General features: G+C 40.5%; 1 protein-coding gene and 1 long non-coding RNA gene across 8 annotated transcripts in view, besides 3 other annotated features; one reads left to right on the top strand and one right to left on the bottom strand.

Moving 5' to 3' along the window:
* Positions 1-16,244, bottom strand: part of MET (MET proto-oncogene, receptor tyrosine kinase) — a 126,182-nt gene extending 109,938 nt beyond the window's left edge. For all 6 annotated transcript variants that reach the window (XM_011516223.2, NM_001127500.3, NM_000245.4 and 3 more), the window contains exon 1: positions 15,863-16,244. The gene's annotated coding sequence lies outside the window, so the exon portion shown is untranslated. The remainder of the gene's footprint in view (positions 1-15,862) is intronic.
* Positions 413-16,288, top strand: part of COMETT (cytosolic oncogenic antisense to MET transcript) — a 124,434-nt gene continuing 108,558 nt past the window's right edge. For both annotated transcript variants that reach the window (NR_165032.1, NR_165033.1), the window contains exon 1: positions 413-499. This is a non-coding gene — a long non-coding RNA (cytosolic oncogenic antisense to MET transcript). The remainder of the gene's footprint in view (positions 500-16,288) is intronic.
* Positions 8,822-9,333: a silencer, noted in NCBI's record as "conserved region 3 (CR3) negative regulatory element (NRE) in the greater CFTR locus". NCBI's record gives its function as "modestly represses a gamma-globin promoter coupled to the HS2 beta-globin enhancer in both orientations in transfected K562 cells {active_cell/tissue: K562}" and the evidence as "EXISTENCE:reporter gene assay evidence [ECO:0000049][PMID:18436892]".
* Positions 8,822-9,333: an enhancer blocking element, noted in NCBI's record as "conserved region 3 (CR3) negative regulatory element (NRE) in the greater CFTR locus". NCBI's record gives its function as "modestly blocks activation of a gamma-globin promoter by the HS2 beta-globin enhancer when located between the enhancer and promoter in the reverse orientation in transfected K562 cells {active_cell/tissue: K562}" and the evidence as "EXISTENCE:reporter gene assay evidence [ECO:0000049][PMID:18436892]".
* Positions 16,077-16,266: a silencer, noted in NCBI's record as "silent region_18562". NCBI's record gives its function as "represses an Ori minimal core promoter by ATAC-STARR-seq in GM12878 lymphoblastoid cells {active_cell/tissue: GM12878}" and the evidence as "EXISTENCE:reporter gene assay evidence [ECO:0000049][PMID:35858748]".

Here is a 16,288-nt window from a genome sequence, read left to right as displayed (position 1 = left end):
AATGTAAAGAAAGTGCTAAAATGCATGAAAACTTATACAAGTATTTGTTTTCGTATTTTTCAGCCAAATGGATGGACATAATTTTGTGATTCAGACTGTGTAGCAGTGTTACCAGTTTTTGTTCAATTAATCCAGGAAGACTGAATAACATAAATCCGCAAATCACATTTGAGAAACATCTTTCCAAGTCTATATATTAAAAAAAAAAAGAGGCAATCAACCTTTGCCAGTTGCATTCAAATACTGGGTTTGGAAAGGATAAACCGACTGAATAGTCAGAATGTGAACCACTGAAGGGAGACAAGTTGGAGAGGAAGCTGGTACATTACTCACGAATGAATCAGACATCCCCTCCCTCCGTGTTTGAAAATGTCCTCGGCATAAAGCATGGTACAATTCCAAACGAGGAACTATGCTCAGGATTGGATTTATATGACTGATCAGTTTCCTCTGCTGTTATCGAAAGCAGATATCAAATGGCTGTGGAGGAATGCAGGTGGTGAGTGAACCCCATTCTTTTCACAGTGGCTGTCACACAAAGAAAGAGAAATCAGCACCCAGGGACAGAGAGACAAAGGGGAGAGGTGTGAGGGTGCCAAAGGCCAAGCCCCCTCTAGTCTCAAAATGCAGAGCGTTTGAATGAGCTGGGCGTTCCTTGTAGTGCTATTTTCTCTTAGGTCTGAATTTATTTTGCTTATTTGCTCACACCTGAGAAATTTTCTTGGAAATCAATGTTTGCAAGTAGACTCTGACACTGGTATGAACTAAGGTCTCTTTTTCACGATCAAAATTGTCAGTATATGACATTTTCTTATTTAGGCAAAGTAGACAAGAATTGTTAGAAATCATGAGAATACTGTGAATGTGAAGGAATAGCCAAACCTGGCCACATTTTGTACAGATGTGGATTCCTTGGGTGAACATAATGCAATCCTAACAGTGTTGGAAGAAGAATTAAAAGTATATGAATAGCATTATGTTGAGATCAATATGTCACCAGAAAATAAAGAACCAAACAAAACTGTTTACAAAAATCTTAAACACTTTTAAAAGAATAGAGAATGCTGAGCAAATAGATTCTCATAAAACTAGGATAGTACAGAAAAATAAGTACAGAATCCAATTTCTGAAACTCAGTAAACACTCTGGATCCTTGAAAAATCAATAAAGCAAAAGGTTAGGACAACCTGAAAACAACTGTGCTTAGGATTGCATTTACGTAACTCATCAATTCAAGGAAAACAATTCAGGGCAGGTTGTGTGTATATAGGCGGTATGTGTATTTATGGGAGAGGAAAGAAATAGAAGAGAGAAGAGAGGGCAAGAAATTAAAACAAACAACTTTTCCAACCATACAGGTGTTGCCCCTTGACTGGGAATCTCCACCTTCCACCTGCAACACGCCCAGGCTGTGCTGTAAAGGTGTGCGCATGTCAGTGGAGCAGCACGGGGGAGAAGAGCTAACTATGCAGACAGAAAGCGGGGCCAAGGAGTATTTCAGAGGGGATACTACTTGAGCTGTGTCTTGCAGGATAAGTTGGAGCTGCTCAGGTGCAGCTGAGGTAGGGGACAGACACTTTGGGTGGAGTGGACTCACACACGGGCACCTGGGGAGAAGATGCAGGGTTGTCCAGGAAGCTGCAATTGGCATAGAGGCCAGGTGGGCTGGGTTGACAGTGGAAAAAGGTATAAGATTAGGCTGTGGCCACATTAAAGAAAGTCTGATATGTTTTGTTGAAGGATCTCCAGAGAATCCCGAAATCCATCTCTCCAATATCACTTTTGTCTATGCAACAGCTATTTAAGACCAAATTTGACAAGTATTTACTGGGGTCCTACTATGCATCAGATGCTTGGGATACATCAGTAAACAAAACCCAACACCCCTGCTCTTGTGGAACTTACTTTTTAGCTGGGGACAACAATTAATACCCATAACAAGCTGATGATGTAGTGTTTCAGAAGTTGATGTGTGTTACAGGGAAAAACAAAAAGTAGGGCTGGGGCATCAGAACTGCCTGGAGGAGAGGTATGGGGATAGGTTTGTAGCTCGGAAATTGGGAAGGTGGCTTTTGTGGACCCAGATGTCTGAGATGGGAAAAGAGATTTCTGGGCAGAGGCAAGAAGGAAGAACTAAATGTGCCTGGTGTGTCTGAAGCACAGCAAGGGGGCCAGTAAGCCTGGACTTTGTTGACCGGGAGCTGAGATCAAAAGGACAAAGAAGCAGAGCATGTAAGGCCTTGTAGGCCCCTGGGAGATTCAGGTTTTTATTGGAGTGAAATGGGGAGTCATTGCAGGGTGTTGAACAAGGGGGGATTATGTTGGAATGTATTCACCTCGATCATATGGGAGAGAAGACTGCTAGTGGCTGGGGGGCAGTTCAGGGCAAAGGTGGAGTGGTGAGGCCAGCTGGGAGGCTCCAGTGGTGTTCCAGGAGGGGGACCCTGGTGGCCTGGGCCAGGAAGGAAGGGGAGAGTGGGGAGATGTGGCCGAATTCTGGTTCTATTTTGAAGACAGAGCTATTTTGTCACATGCCTCAGATCGAACTCCATCCGGATTTACTGATGGAGTCAGATCTGAGGCATGTGAGAAAAAAAGGAGAATATGCCAAGGATTTTGACTTTTTTAACAGAGAGAATGGCTTTGCCAGTTACCGACATGCAGACTCTGGTTGGTGAAGCATGTTTGTAGGATATGAGGAGACCAGGAATGTAGTTTTGCCCACAATGGAGGTTTTTTTATTTTTATTTTTTTGACATGGAGTCTTGCTCTGTTGCCCAGGCTGGAGTGCAGTGATGTGGTGTTGGCTAACTGCAACCTCCGCCTCCCAAGTTCAAGCGATTCTCCTGCCTCAGCCTCCTGAGTAGTTGGGATTACAGGCACACATCACCACACCTGGCTAAATTTTGTATTTTTAGTAGAGACGGGGTTTCACCATGTTGGCCAGGCTGGTCTTGAACTCCTGACCACCACCCGCCTCACTATCCACCCGCCTCAGCCTCCCAAAGTGCTGGGATTACAGGCATGAGCCACTGCACTCAGCCTGACATACATTTTTTAGGCATCTAAGTGGAGATGCCGGGCATGCAGTTGGATGTTTGAGTCCCGGGGTTAAGGAGAAAGGTCTGGGCTAGAGATTTAAATTAAGAAGTTGTCAGCATGTAGACATCATGAAAAGCCATGAGAGTGGATGGGATCTCCGAGGAGAGGGACTGTAGAGAATGAAGAGAGGAGGACTGAGTGATGGCGCCACCAAAGCTAATAGGTCAGGAGACAAAGACAGATGGGACAAGAGACCAAGAAGGAGCAGTTGGATATCCTTCTGTTATCTCCATCTACTCCCACAAAACCTGGTCTCCCTCTCTGTATCCTACCTCAGTGCTGAACATGTCCCATATTTCTAGGACATCATCTTTGACACCCACCTACAAATATTTTAAACATGTCCATCTCCTTATTGGCTTCCATGCCCATGGTCAGGGCAGTGTCACTTCATACCTGGATTACTACAACAGCTTCCTCGCTGGTCTTCCCTCTCCATTCTCACCCTGATCATCTGCCCCCTAGCATACCAGAGATATCTTTCTAAACTGACAATTTGACTATGTCACTTCTTTGCTGAAAAAAAATGTCAACCCCTTGGCAGAGCTTACAAACCACATACCATTTTTTTCTGCCCCACTCTCCAGTCTTGCCTCTTGCCATCACACCATTAGAAATCTAGGCTCTGGCCACTCTGCCCTCTTCCAGTTCTTGAAGCAAGCCATGTGCTCAGCCACTCTGGGTTTCAGCACATGTGGATCCCTCTTTATGGATATTCTTGCCCTCAACTTCACATGGATAAGTTGTCCTCTCTCTTCAAGCCTCATCTTAGGGAACAGTTCTGGGAAGCCTTCTCTGATGCATCTCTTACCTTCTAGTAAGGAATTAGGAACTCTCCTATGTGCTCAAACATCAAACCTGTCTTCCCCTTATCTAGCCTTTACCACACTATATAGTAACTTATTTATCTGTGTCTCCCATCAGAGTGTAAGCTCCACTTTTAGCCCTTAGCATAGTGTCATTACATGGCACTTAGTAAGCATTTATTGAATGAATGGACAACAGAATCAATCAATATACAAAAGAATGTTCCTGAACAAAGTTTCTAGCATTATGGAAAGAAAGGAAGGACTAGATTATACACATATTAAAGTGAGAAAAATTATGTGGGAATTATTCAATATGGATTTTGATTGTAGAGGAGACTGAAAAGCCAAGAATGGCTAAAAAATTGTCTATCTGGGTATCATAAACCAAGGTAAGGAAAATAGGGAGAGGAGACTTTGAGGGTAAAAGTAATTAGTTGAGTTAATAACCCTGATGTAGCTTCTGGTCATCTAAGTGGTGGAGTCTGTAAGGTAGCTGACAACATGAAAGTGGTGGTCTAGAGAAAAGAGGAAGTGAGAGAGAGCGGTTTGTGAACCACTCGTCCATCGGTGTATTGGAAGTCACTGAAGTGAGATCACTTGTGAATGTGTTTTGTAAGTAGAAAGGAGGAATTCAGATGGAGCCTTACAGAAGACTAGAATCTAACCTTTATGTTTTAAAGGGTAAAAAGAACAATTGTAGGCAAAGAAAATGTGGAGAGATAAGCTAAGGAGAACTTTCGAGAAGGGAGAAATAAAATGTATGGTGTCAAATTCTACAGACGGGTCAAAAGGGATAAAAACCAGTGTCCATCAGATCTGGCCATGAGGAGGGCACTGGTGATTAGAATGAGGACACTTTCTTGGGCATGTGGTACAGACTGCTTGAGTTGAATGACTTAAGAATGAATGGGAATGAAGAAAGTAGAGAAACTGAGTTAGACATTTATTTTCAAGAATTCATTATTTAAAGGCTAAAATGAAAACAGGAGTGACTACTTAAGGAAATTGTGTATTCAAGATCCTATCAGGATGCCTGATGTGTGTGTTTTATTTCTTTCTAGAAGAATCAGTAAGTTGAGTAAGAGGTGAATGAAAAATAGAGAAGCCATGGAATACTATGCAGACATAAAAAAGAATGAGATTCTGTCTTTTGCAGAAACATGGATGGAATTGGAGGCTGTTATCCTTAGCAAACTAACAAAGGAACAGAAAACCAAATACTGCATGTTCTCACTTATAAGTGGGAGCTAAACGATGAGAACCTATGAACACAAAGAAAGGAACAACAGACATTGGGGTCTACTTGAGGGGGCAGAGGAGGGAGAGGAGCAGAAAAGATAACTATTGGGTACTAGGCTTAATACCTGGGTGATGAAATAAACCCTGTGGCACGAGTTTACCTATGTAACAAATCTGCGCATGTACCACTGAGCCTAAAATATAATTTTTTTAAAAAAGAAAAATGGTGAGGGAGATTTTAAACACGGGAAGAGTTGTAAGGTGGGTAGGATAGAGGGAGGAGGTGCTCACAGGTGTGGGGAACAACAGGGTCAAGACTTAGGTAGAAAAGACTGTTTCATCCTTTGAGACAGAAAGAGGTAATAATGGGTGACATGGAAACAACTGGGCTTGTGTTTACTCTCTAAACTATAAGGAAAGATCTTATACTGAGAATAAGGAGAGCCCAAAAGATGCAAGAGCTTAAGAAATGGTGAGAGTTTGGAATCACTGCAGTGGGCATGGCGAAAAATTGGACTGGAGACATGCAAACAGACTTGCTGGTTAAGAGAATCAGGTGCTATGAATTGGGCAAAATGGGAAAGAACCAAAACAAGAATGAAAGTTCACTCCAGGTCATCCTTATCCTAATGCACAATGTCCATTCTCATTGAACGTCTTCACTGTCAGTAGGCAGGTTTGGGCATTAAATGGTTACATAATTATGAACTCAGTGGTAAATTCCTTGTAATGTTTATATAATTCATCAGGTCTATGGGCCCTTATTAACAGAAAATGCCAGCATTTAATTATTTTTATTTCAAAACCGGTTTTATTGAATTCTGCAAGGAATAACTTCAGGGAAAAGAAAACACATTGAAACAGATACTCTCCTCTCTTTTCAATAAAGCCAACAGTCTAAAGATGTTAAAGAAATAAATCACATATAATGATCATCTAACTCTGAAAATTAAAACCCATTTAGGGATTATGAAGGAACCTTGATCCTGGATACCAGTCTAAGTTATTCGTCTAATATCTTTAATAATGTTTGGAAAGTAATTAATCAACTTATGACATAGATTCAAGGGCTGTCACCTTTCATTGTCATTAATGAAACTGTCTGGGATTTTATCTGCACTTTTCTGGTGATTTAAAGAACAATTTTTTTTTGGTAAGTTCTTTGAAGACCAAAAGAATGTTTAAAATCACTGGGCCTTGACGTACAGATTTCAATGAACAATAATCCAAGTATGTGTTAGTGAGACCGAAATAAAATTTAGAAATATCTTAATTTTGACAAGACAGAAAGGGAATTTTTGAAAAGTCCAAAATGCATATTCATTTATGTTAGGAGGAAGTTTTTTTTTTTGTCAACAATCTCTGCTTTGGTTACTTCTTTACATAATACAAATTACAAATATCATACTATTTGATACTCATTAAAAACAACAATAGCTAAGGTAATATTTTAAGCCCAAAGGTTTGCCTAGGTCCTAAGTGATCATATTGGCTTGCTGTCTTTGTATTAACCAGATGGTTGTGAGACCACAGTCTCACTTTGGACAGTGTAGCCATTGGCTGGAGCCATATGAATTCTGCCTGAAGTGAGGGCAGAATCAGATGAAAGTGGCTCACCTAAGACCCTCAGAGGAGCCAAAAGACAAGTAGTGAAGGCAGGCCTTGATAGAAGCTTTCCTTGAATCTTTATATCACTGTCTAAATTCGTATTTAGAATAGAAAAATACAATTCCTACATCCATGCTAGTATGAACTTTGTATAGTCAAGGACCAAAGAAATGGTTTCAAGGTAGTATCCTCAAGGAAAGCTAATATATATCCCCAGAGACAATATCCCAGTGGAAAAGGATTACAGATAACAGGTTTTAGGGCCATAACTTTTGGTCCCAACAGGAATTTATAGATTATAATGAGCTAGATATGCTAGAATATTTCAGTCATGAAAATGGTGTAAAACCTTTATAAATTTGCCTGAGTTTTCTTTTTATATTTTGATTTCCTCAGAGAAAATGGAATTTCATTTAGAGTGCCTGGGAGTAGATAACAGAGTGCTTAGAACATGCCTCTGACACTCAGAATAAAAGCTTTCTCTGCTTCTGTGACATATTCCTGCTATTCTTCCTGGTAACTGAGGGGAGGACAGACTAAGAGGCCCAATTTAGGACTGGATAGATGATAGTCTATCTTTCTCCAGAATCAAACCACATGTAACACAAGTTGGCAGAAATTTAGACTTTGTAAAGCAATGTCTAAATTTTCCCACCATTTCCCAAGGTGGGAAAATGGTAAAGGTACCATTTTCCCATGAGCTTTACTTTATTCCATACCCTCCCTCCCCCACTTTTTCTGAGACAGGGTCTCTCTTTGTCACCCATGCTGGAGTGCAGTGGTATGATCTCGGCTCACTACAGCCTTGGCCTCCCAGGCTCAGGTGATCCTCCCACCTCAGCCTCCTGAGTAGCTGGGACTGCAAGTGTGCGCCACCATGTCCAGCTACTTTTTGTAATTTTTTTAAGAGGGGGGTTTTGCTATGTTGCCCAGGCTGGTCTCAAACTCCTGAGCTCAAGCCATCCACCCACCTTGGCCTCCTAAAGTGCTGGGATTACAAGCGTGAGCCACTGTGCCTGGCCTATACACCATTTTGACCTGCCTCTTTCCTACTTAGAATTCAGGCAGCCTGATTCTTAATGGGACACCCTCTTTATGACTTAGGGTGCACTCAAGCCCATGACCCTTCAGCATATCCCGCCCACCTTTCCCCTTCCTTTGCTCATTGATCCAATATCCCATCTAAACCTCCAGGCCTTCTCCTTTATTATCTATTTTCTATATATGGCATAAGAATTGTCATAAAAAATCTTTCTTAAATTGAACTACATTTTCCCAACTGTTCAAATACTCAGGCATTCATTCATTTTTCAAGTTGTGAGACCTTTACATTGGAATTTTAAAAGTCATGTAAATACGAATGTGTACAAAAACACTGATATATGATTTATTACTGATGGTTTGGTTCCACCAATGAAATAAAAATTAGGCATGTCTAAACAAAGCTGTATAAATAAGTCAGTGCTGATACAGTGCCATCTACAATTAAATGTCAAAACAAGCTGTAATGATAATGTATTTAGTAAATCTTCAGGTTAACCTAAGAGAATCTCTATTTTAAGACCCTATTAACACAATTTTCCTTTTACCCCCCCGCCCCCTCAAGATATAAGAAATTGCCAATTCCATCACCCCAAATGTGATACTAAAACAGCATGCTTTTCACCAGGAAAGGTTTTCTGAGGATAAAAATGTGATGAGCCATTAGAAATTCACAATATGGTATCAAGAAAGATCTCAATGCCTATATTTTAGCATGATAGTTTATTTCTTTAAGAGAGAAGGAGCTGCTGTCTCCAAAGCAGCCATTCTTTAATCATGTCATTTGAAATGCACTTAAAGCTATGTCAAATTCATATAGGAAGTCTGGTTACCAGAAAATACACATTCACAAACAGGAAATCTAACTACAGCAAGAAGGTGTTTTCCCCCGACACAATAGAGTTCAAAGATGTGTCATCCATGTAATTTGGAGCAATACCCAACACCACTCTTATTGCTGAGTATTCCTCTCTCCCCTCTCCTATATTATGACAACTCGTGATTATAGCATTACGTTTTCTAAGCCTGTTTGGACTTGCTGCTCTTGCTTATACATACAAGCGACCTGCCCTTTTTCTGTGCATAGCTTTCAATCAGTAAGCATGTCAAGGTGGGAGGAAGGATGACAGGAATAGTAAAAGGGGGAAAATCAATTTTCAGAAAGCATATGGCAACAACTGAATATTTAATCAAATTAGTCTAGAAATTCCTTCCTATTTTCAGCACTCTTTGCAAGGCAGTTGCTTCATGGTGCAAAATGAATTTCAATAAATGTCATATATTTAGTTAGATGGCTTATTTTAAAAATTTGTCGAACAAGGTCACTGACTTAGAATAGATCTTATTCCAAGGTATGACAGATGGATATCAATATTGAATAGAAGAACTGACATTAGCTAGAAGTTTCTGGGCAGAAGAAAGAGTCATTCAACACTCTACAAAATACTTACTGAGTACCTACTATGTGCCAGAATAAAATGATGAATATTTGGGCTTTGTATTTATATTACAAAACAGAGAGGAAATGTGTCAAAATAATTTCCTTGGGGTTAGTAAGGATTACAACTGAGTATTACTGGTAAACAAGGACTTTAAAAAGTGCTTAAAATTTTCACATTGCATCATTCAAACATCCATACTGTCATGGTTGCAAGATTTTAGACCTAATCAGATTTTTGAGGATGCTGTTTATTGACGCTTAGCAAAAACCAACTTCCTATTTTTTTCTGGAACAAAAAGGCCTTACACAATTTTAGAGATCTCTTGGACATCAAAGAGCTTAGAGGGACATACAGTTTGTGAGTAATGATTTAAGATTTAGTGAATCAAAGACACATGGATTAAATTTCCCTTAAAAGACCCCTAGGTTTAAAATTTAATAGCTAAAATGCTGGTCTAGATACACTCTGGTCCCAATGCTGGTCCCAAGCAAAGCCAAAACCTATTTTTAAAGCTAGGTTGAATTGTCTTATGGACCCAAACCTTGGCTGGGTTTTCCTTTCCCACATGATTAGGCCTCAAAGGAGGCAACCTATCTCTAATAAATTTACCACTTCTCTTTTTCTCTGACTTGCAAAGACCATATTATTTCAAAGGTCTCAGCTTTGAATGTCTTTCTTTACATTTTTAATAAAATATTAAAAATTAGAAATCTTCCACGGTCTTATCAAACAGTTATTCCCCAAGTCATTCTTTTTTAAAAAAAAACATACATTTTCAAATTGGACCTGAGAGTCTAGGTGCTGCCTCAGAATTCCAACTATTAAGGAGTAGGAGACCATTTCAAAACAGGAATAGACCACTGATCTTAATATGTATACTGTATGTGCACTGTTTCATGATATATTATTATATTTGCATTTAAAATAGTAGGAAGAAATACAGTACATAATCTCCCTTTCTAACACAGTGGCCTTCTGGAGGGCTGCTAGCTTGGGCATTTCACTGAGATTTTAGGATTAAAGGAAACAAATTAGTGCACAACCTGTGAGCTTTTATTCCTTTGGAAAAATAGATTTTAACACTGATCTGATTGCTTTTAAAGGGCACTGGAAACCAGGAGGGCAGTGCATGTTTTGAATTTCAATGGCAGGGTAATAACAACGGGTGAAGTTCAGTCATTTCCAGAGACAGAGACAGAGAGAGAGAGAGACAGAGAGAGAGAGAGAGAAAGACAATATTCCAAAGGGGGAGTTTATCCTGAATCAGAGAACTTGGAAATGAAATTGATGCATAAAGCCATGATGGATTCAGGTTTCAGAAAACTACTACTTCAGTTTAAGAATGAAATAACTAGATTACCCTTTAGTTTAGAAACGTACATAGTTTGATGTAAAGTATGTGGGCTGATGAGTTTAGAAAAATAACCACGTGCCAATAGGAACTGACATAAAATATTGGTTTTAAAAAATTTGTTTAGTTAATTTTCTGAGAATTTTAGAAAATAAAATATTTTGTAGAAGCAGTCCTGGGGCTCTCGGGCCATGCATGCTGCTGCAATTGGGACCATCAGGAGCCCAATCTGGCTTGCAGACTTTCTGCCACTGTAAGCTGTATGGTGTTTTAAAGACACTGAGTCAACATTTTAAAATTGGGAGAGTCCTAGCTTCTCTTGAAAATCTGAAAGATACTACCACATGGGCCCATGCCATACACTGAGCCTCACAACAGCTCTAATCACGCCAAGCAGTGACTGCCCCTCTGCTTTTCCTAAGCAGTTTGTCAATCCCTAGTGAAATGGTTAGTTTTCCTCATTTAAGTTACCTGTTTGCAAATCTTGATACAGGATATAAATAGGGGAATAAGGGAAAAGGAAGAAAAGAGGAAGAAAATCCAATGCAGTGACTTAATACTGGAAAGGAAAAGGAAGGAGAGCGAGGGGGAAAGAAAGAAGTGCATAGCAGACAGAAGCTGCACACCATCAGCAACTGCCTCTTGCTGTCTTTAGATTTATACTATGGAAGGGATCAGTGAAAAAAGCCATGGGTATCCTTCTCAACAAATCCCACTGTGACAGGCTCACAGTGTGGAAAATAAGAAGGAAAATTGTCTGAATGGAGCAATATCTCTGATAGAGGATGGAGTATGGGATGGGACCAGGCGGATGCAAAACAAAACAAAACAAAACAAAACAAAAAAACAAAAAAAAAAACAAAACAACACTCTGGGTCTTCTTCTTCCATGTCTCATAAACCAAGAGATGTGGGCCACTCCTGTATCTTCATCTTTAACATGGTAGCTAATGATGGCAGGCACTGTCCAGGTATTTCCCTACAAAAACAGGGGCACTATTCAGGTATCTCCCTCCAAAATCAGGGAGTCTATGGACAGTTGTGCAAGCTGTGAACTGCACAATTTCAGGAAAAACAAGATGAGAATAGCACTCCTGAGAAGTGCTCCTCATATGCGCCTGGCTCACTTCCTTATCTCCTTCAGATTCTAGCCCAAAGCCCACCTTTGAAGACAAGCCTTCCCTGACCTCACTATTGAGTTTTTCAATCACCATCCCACTCTCTCTTATCCTTGACAGTCACTATTCTCTTTTCCATTTTATTCTACCTTGAAGCTATTATCATCACCTGACATACAACACATTTCAGTTATGTATTTCTTTATTGTTTGCCAACTCAATAGAACAGAGTGTCATGAGGTTAGAGGTTTTCATCTGTTTTATACTCTGTGGAAATGCCAGATTTTAGAACTATGCCTCGTAGGTTGTCAAAAAATTGTCCTGAATGAATGACTAAATCCTCATTCACATTCTTGGAGTACAGGAACCTGGCTTTCACGATAACTTGTGATTCTCTAAGCACATTTCATAATTGCTATCCTTAATTATATTAGGAGAGATACATTTTCAAATTCTATTGCCCATTATATAATCGCCTGTGGGCCCTATAGCTACATAATTTATTATAGAAATTAAAATCAATGGGAGTAACCTACATAAACATACTTGCACACATTTATGCAATCACAGAGAGAAATATGTGTACCTGGGTATGTGATTACAAAGTTAACTTTTTTATTTCACTGAGCTCATACCTCCTGCTACAAATGCCACACGTGATTTTTTCTCTCAATTAAGTTTTACAGCTTATAAAAGCACTTTTTTCATTTTGTCCCATGAAAAGCAAAGTAGTCAGATTTTACTGGATGTTTTTATTGAAACAAATCCCAAGCGGAATATACTAACCTGTTTAACACAGCTGAAAAGATATCTGAGAATGGGCTTTCTGATAGAAGGATAGATTACAAAATTATTCACGGCTCTTAATCTGATAACAGGAGCAGAATGCCCCACACATATGAATGAAACCTTTTCTCGGTATGTCTCACTACAAAGAAAAGAAAAAAAGAAAAGAAAAGAAATTAAAAAAAAAAAAGAGAGAGAGAACTGGAGAAAGAGAAGGTGACAAAAACTCCAGGGACTAGATATGTTATATTCATCATTTACCACTATCTTAAGCATCCCTAATGATGCCTCCATGGAAAATGTTTCCAATAGTTGATGGCTGAGGAAAGGTGGTATGGTGCTATTGAAATAGCATGGAGCTAGTCTCAAGCTCAGTTTCCTTGTCTATAACATAAGAATGTTAAGATGTTATCAGACTTGCCTATCTTGTAAGGTCGTTTTGGTATCAGAAAGGTGATGTATGCAGAAACAGCTTGAAAATGTTAAGGTTTTTAAGTTCCAAACTTTGATTTTTAAAAAAAAATTCTATTATTTCATAGCAAATAGGATGATTTTGAAAGCGTTTCTCATGTGATGTCCTCTTAATAATTATGAATTTGTGTTCATTTAATATGTGATATTTGTCTGTGTATCTAGATCATAAACTTCTCAAGGGCAGATTCCATTTCTTTCTTTTAAAGAAAATGCTGTAGTACCTAGCACATATGATACTCTACCTATAGGTCCTAGCTATTTTTGGTCAGGCAAATGTGGATCTAGCAGCAACTCAGTGTCAGTTGAGAACACATCATCAAAGTGATTCTGAACTAACATTAGTCAGTGTATCTATCATTTATTACTGAGAAGTGACTATTTATTTTGCACTGAGCAAAACCCATGAAGAAACTCTGCCCTAAGGGCTTGGTGTCAAAAACACTAGTTTCAGCATACACCAGCCAGGAAAAGAAGGCTCACTTCCGGACACTTGAGTTTCTACATACATTTTCTCCCCTTAAGAGGGCACAATGAGGAAATTGAGTATCCTATGAATAAACACAGCAGACCAAGGAAATCTTAGGGATTTAGACCACGGAAAAGAAAGCGTAGATGGCTCTGGCGAGAATCACTAAGCCTAATGCCTAAAGAAGAAACGAGCAAACTGGGCTGGAGAAATGGGGGCACGGAAGGCCTTGAAAGCAGCTCTGACCAAACCAAGGGAAAGGGTTGAGGAGGAAGAGGACAGAGAAATGGGAGGTAATCTGAATGTGTGAGGAACTGTGCTCACCATGGGGGTGTTGCCATGTCTTTGGTGCAGCCACTTGGAGAAAATAAGCCAGTTAGAGGATGTTAGCTCCTCTGAGTTATTCACGTTGTTTTGAGATGACCACATTTGAGAAAAAGTTAATTTGAGACTATTATGTAGATCTGCAGAAGGATAATATGACTAATGCTACTTCAAACACTATTTTAAAAACAGCTAAGGAAATTGATTTTTGAAATGTATTTCTTAGTCTAGCCCTCATTAAGACAATTTTTTTTTAAAGATTTCAAGATTAATGCAAGGCATATACTTACATAGTCTTAAAAGGAATTTATAAAATATGGGTATTTCTCCTGCTTAGCAAAGGGTCATTTTTCTCTATTATAGGTTTAAAAGTAGTGAAAATATTAGTTATGAGCTTTCGTATTGACTGGCTATGATTAATCTGGTACATTTTTTATCATGAAGATAAACTCCATCAACTAATTTTGAAAGCATGTAGTATACATCTAATGTAAACCCCTACTGCCATGTATCAAGAACAAAGCAATTTTGAAAAAGCAGTAGTCGGCAGACTGTCTTCTATATGCCACAAATTCCATCATGTTAAAAGCAAAATATATTTAAGTTAATAACTATAGCTTATACACCATTAAGTTTGAAAACGGAATAGAATTTTTAAAACAGCAGTACATTTTATAGGCTATCAGACACATTTTTGTACTACCAAAATTTCTTATGAATGATGTAAATTTTCCCTCTGTTATTCAGCAGTTCAAAAAGAATGAACATTGAATACACCACAGACTTGCAAATGATAGGAACCAAAGTACCTCACTTATGTTCCATTATGGAAGTTTACACGTTCAAAACAAAGCTCAATTAGCTTAGATCAAGGAAGGAAAGCTATGTACCTGTAAATAATCCAAGCACCACTTACACTGTTTACATAAAAATGCAATTTATGTCCCTGTAGCACAGAGAAACATGATGTACATCATTTTCAGATCATCTTCATGCAGAAAAAATTCATTAGTCAGCTATAATAGTTTAGCTGTAAGGGAATATAATGTTTTTCTGAATCCATTTGCATGGCAATGTGCATGTGTCTGGCTGATGAAAGCGACAGAATAAACCCCCACCCAAAGCTACAGAATGTGAACAGTCTTCTTAAAATTCAAGAGAGGGTCCAGATAGTCTATATTGCCTCCAACGTCAGTTCTTACAATCCTCTCACATTCATGGACCATCTTAACATAGCAATTAAAGTATCTTGATTATTTTGCCTAAGAGAGTTGACAATATTTCATTCTGCCCGAGGGCTCCTTTGAACATAAAACTGTGATAAGGTAAAATACACTGGGCAACTATTCATGCGTGAGCCATTGGAGCCCTCTCCAACTGCCAAATTAGCAAATGGCTCTTTTAAAACATGAAAGATATGAATGGGAAACCGTACTTCGGAGTAAATTCTGCATTGACAATAGTCAGGGAAAGTACTTTCACTGGTGCTTTAATTATCGGGTCAGCACTACGACTGGCCACATCGCTCAGCCTCTGGTTATAATCTATTTCACCTAATAAGATAGATGTCCACCACAAGCCCCAGAAAGAGATAAGGTACGATGGAAAATTGATGGATCACAAGCCCCGCGTGATTGCCAGAAATGAATTCAGACTTTCACAGAAACACCTGCCCCTTGGAAGGACCCCAACATAACACAGATAAAGCAAGGCTGGGAACAAGGAAACAGCTCGGCTCAAACCTTGCCAGCTGCATCACGGTGGGACGAGGATGACCGGATCCCTTTTGTAAGGGCTGAGTCAGATCCCAGCTTTAAAACTTGCTGGGCCGTAACAGTCACACATCACCCACTGTCCCAGCGCCCCTCTCCCTCCTAAGTCATACAGGTGGCCATCAGAAGCAACCCCCTAAAAAGACAAGCCCCATTCTAGTTTCGTCCTCGCCGTGGCCACGTCTCTTCAGTTTCCGAAGCCCCTAAACTCTAGCCCACCTACGTGGTTTTGCCCCCTGGAACAGCAGTCAGGTCTCTTAGGGGAACAAAGAAAGCAGAACCCCTGAGGCGAGGGATTGGGTACTGGATCTGAAAGGGGCTGCAATTTTACCTTTCGGTGCCCAGGAACCAGTGGAGAAGTCAGCGGCGCAAGGACCACACGCGCGCTCCGCGCCTCCCCGCCTCCTCTCAGCAAGTCAGCTGTCGCCCCGCATCTGGCTCGCGCCCTCCACTCGGCTCCGCATCTGCTCACAAAGCGCTCGGGGCGCCGCGGGCGGCGAGGGCCTCCGGGTCACCTGCGGCCGGGCTGAGCCCAGCGCCCCGCCCGCCCGCCGGCCGCACTCCCTCCGCCCCTTCCCACACGCGCGCTGCCCTGCCAGTGACTCAGCCGGGCATCGGCGCGCGCGGCCCGCGGCGGCCCGGGCGCGTTGGGGCCGGAGGCACCGCCAGGCGACCAGACTGAGGCGCTCGCCTGCCCGCCCCAGCACGTGTCTGTCTGCCTCGCGTGCTGTCCGTCCCCTAGTCCGCGGGTTCCGAG

The sequence above is a fragment of the Homo sapiens genome, chromosome 7, assembly GCF_000001405.40.
Source record: "Homo sapiens chromosome 7, GRCh38.p14 Primary Assembly".
Classification (NCBI taxonomy): domain Eukaryota; kingdom Metazoa; phylum Chordata; class Mammalia; order Primates; family Hominidae; genus Homo; species Homo sapiens.
Note: the sequence above shows the minus strand (reverse complement) of the source record. Positions and strands in the feature narration are given on the sequence as shown.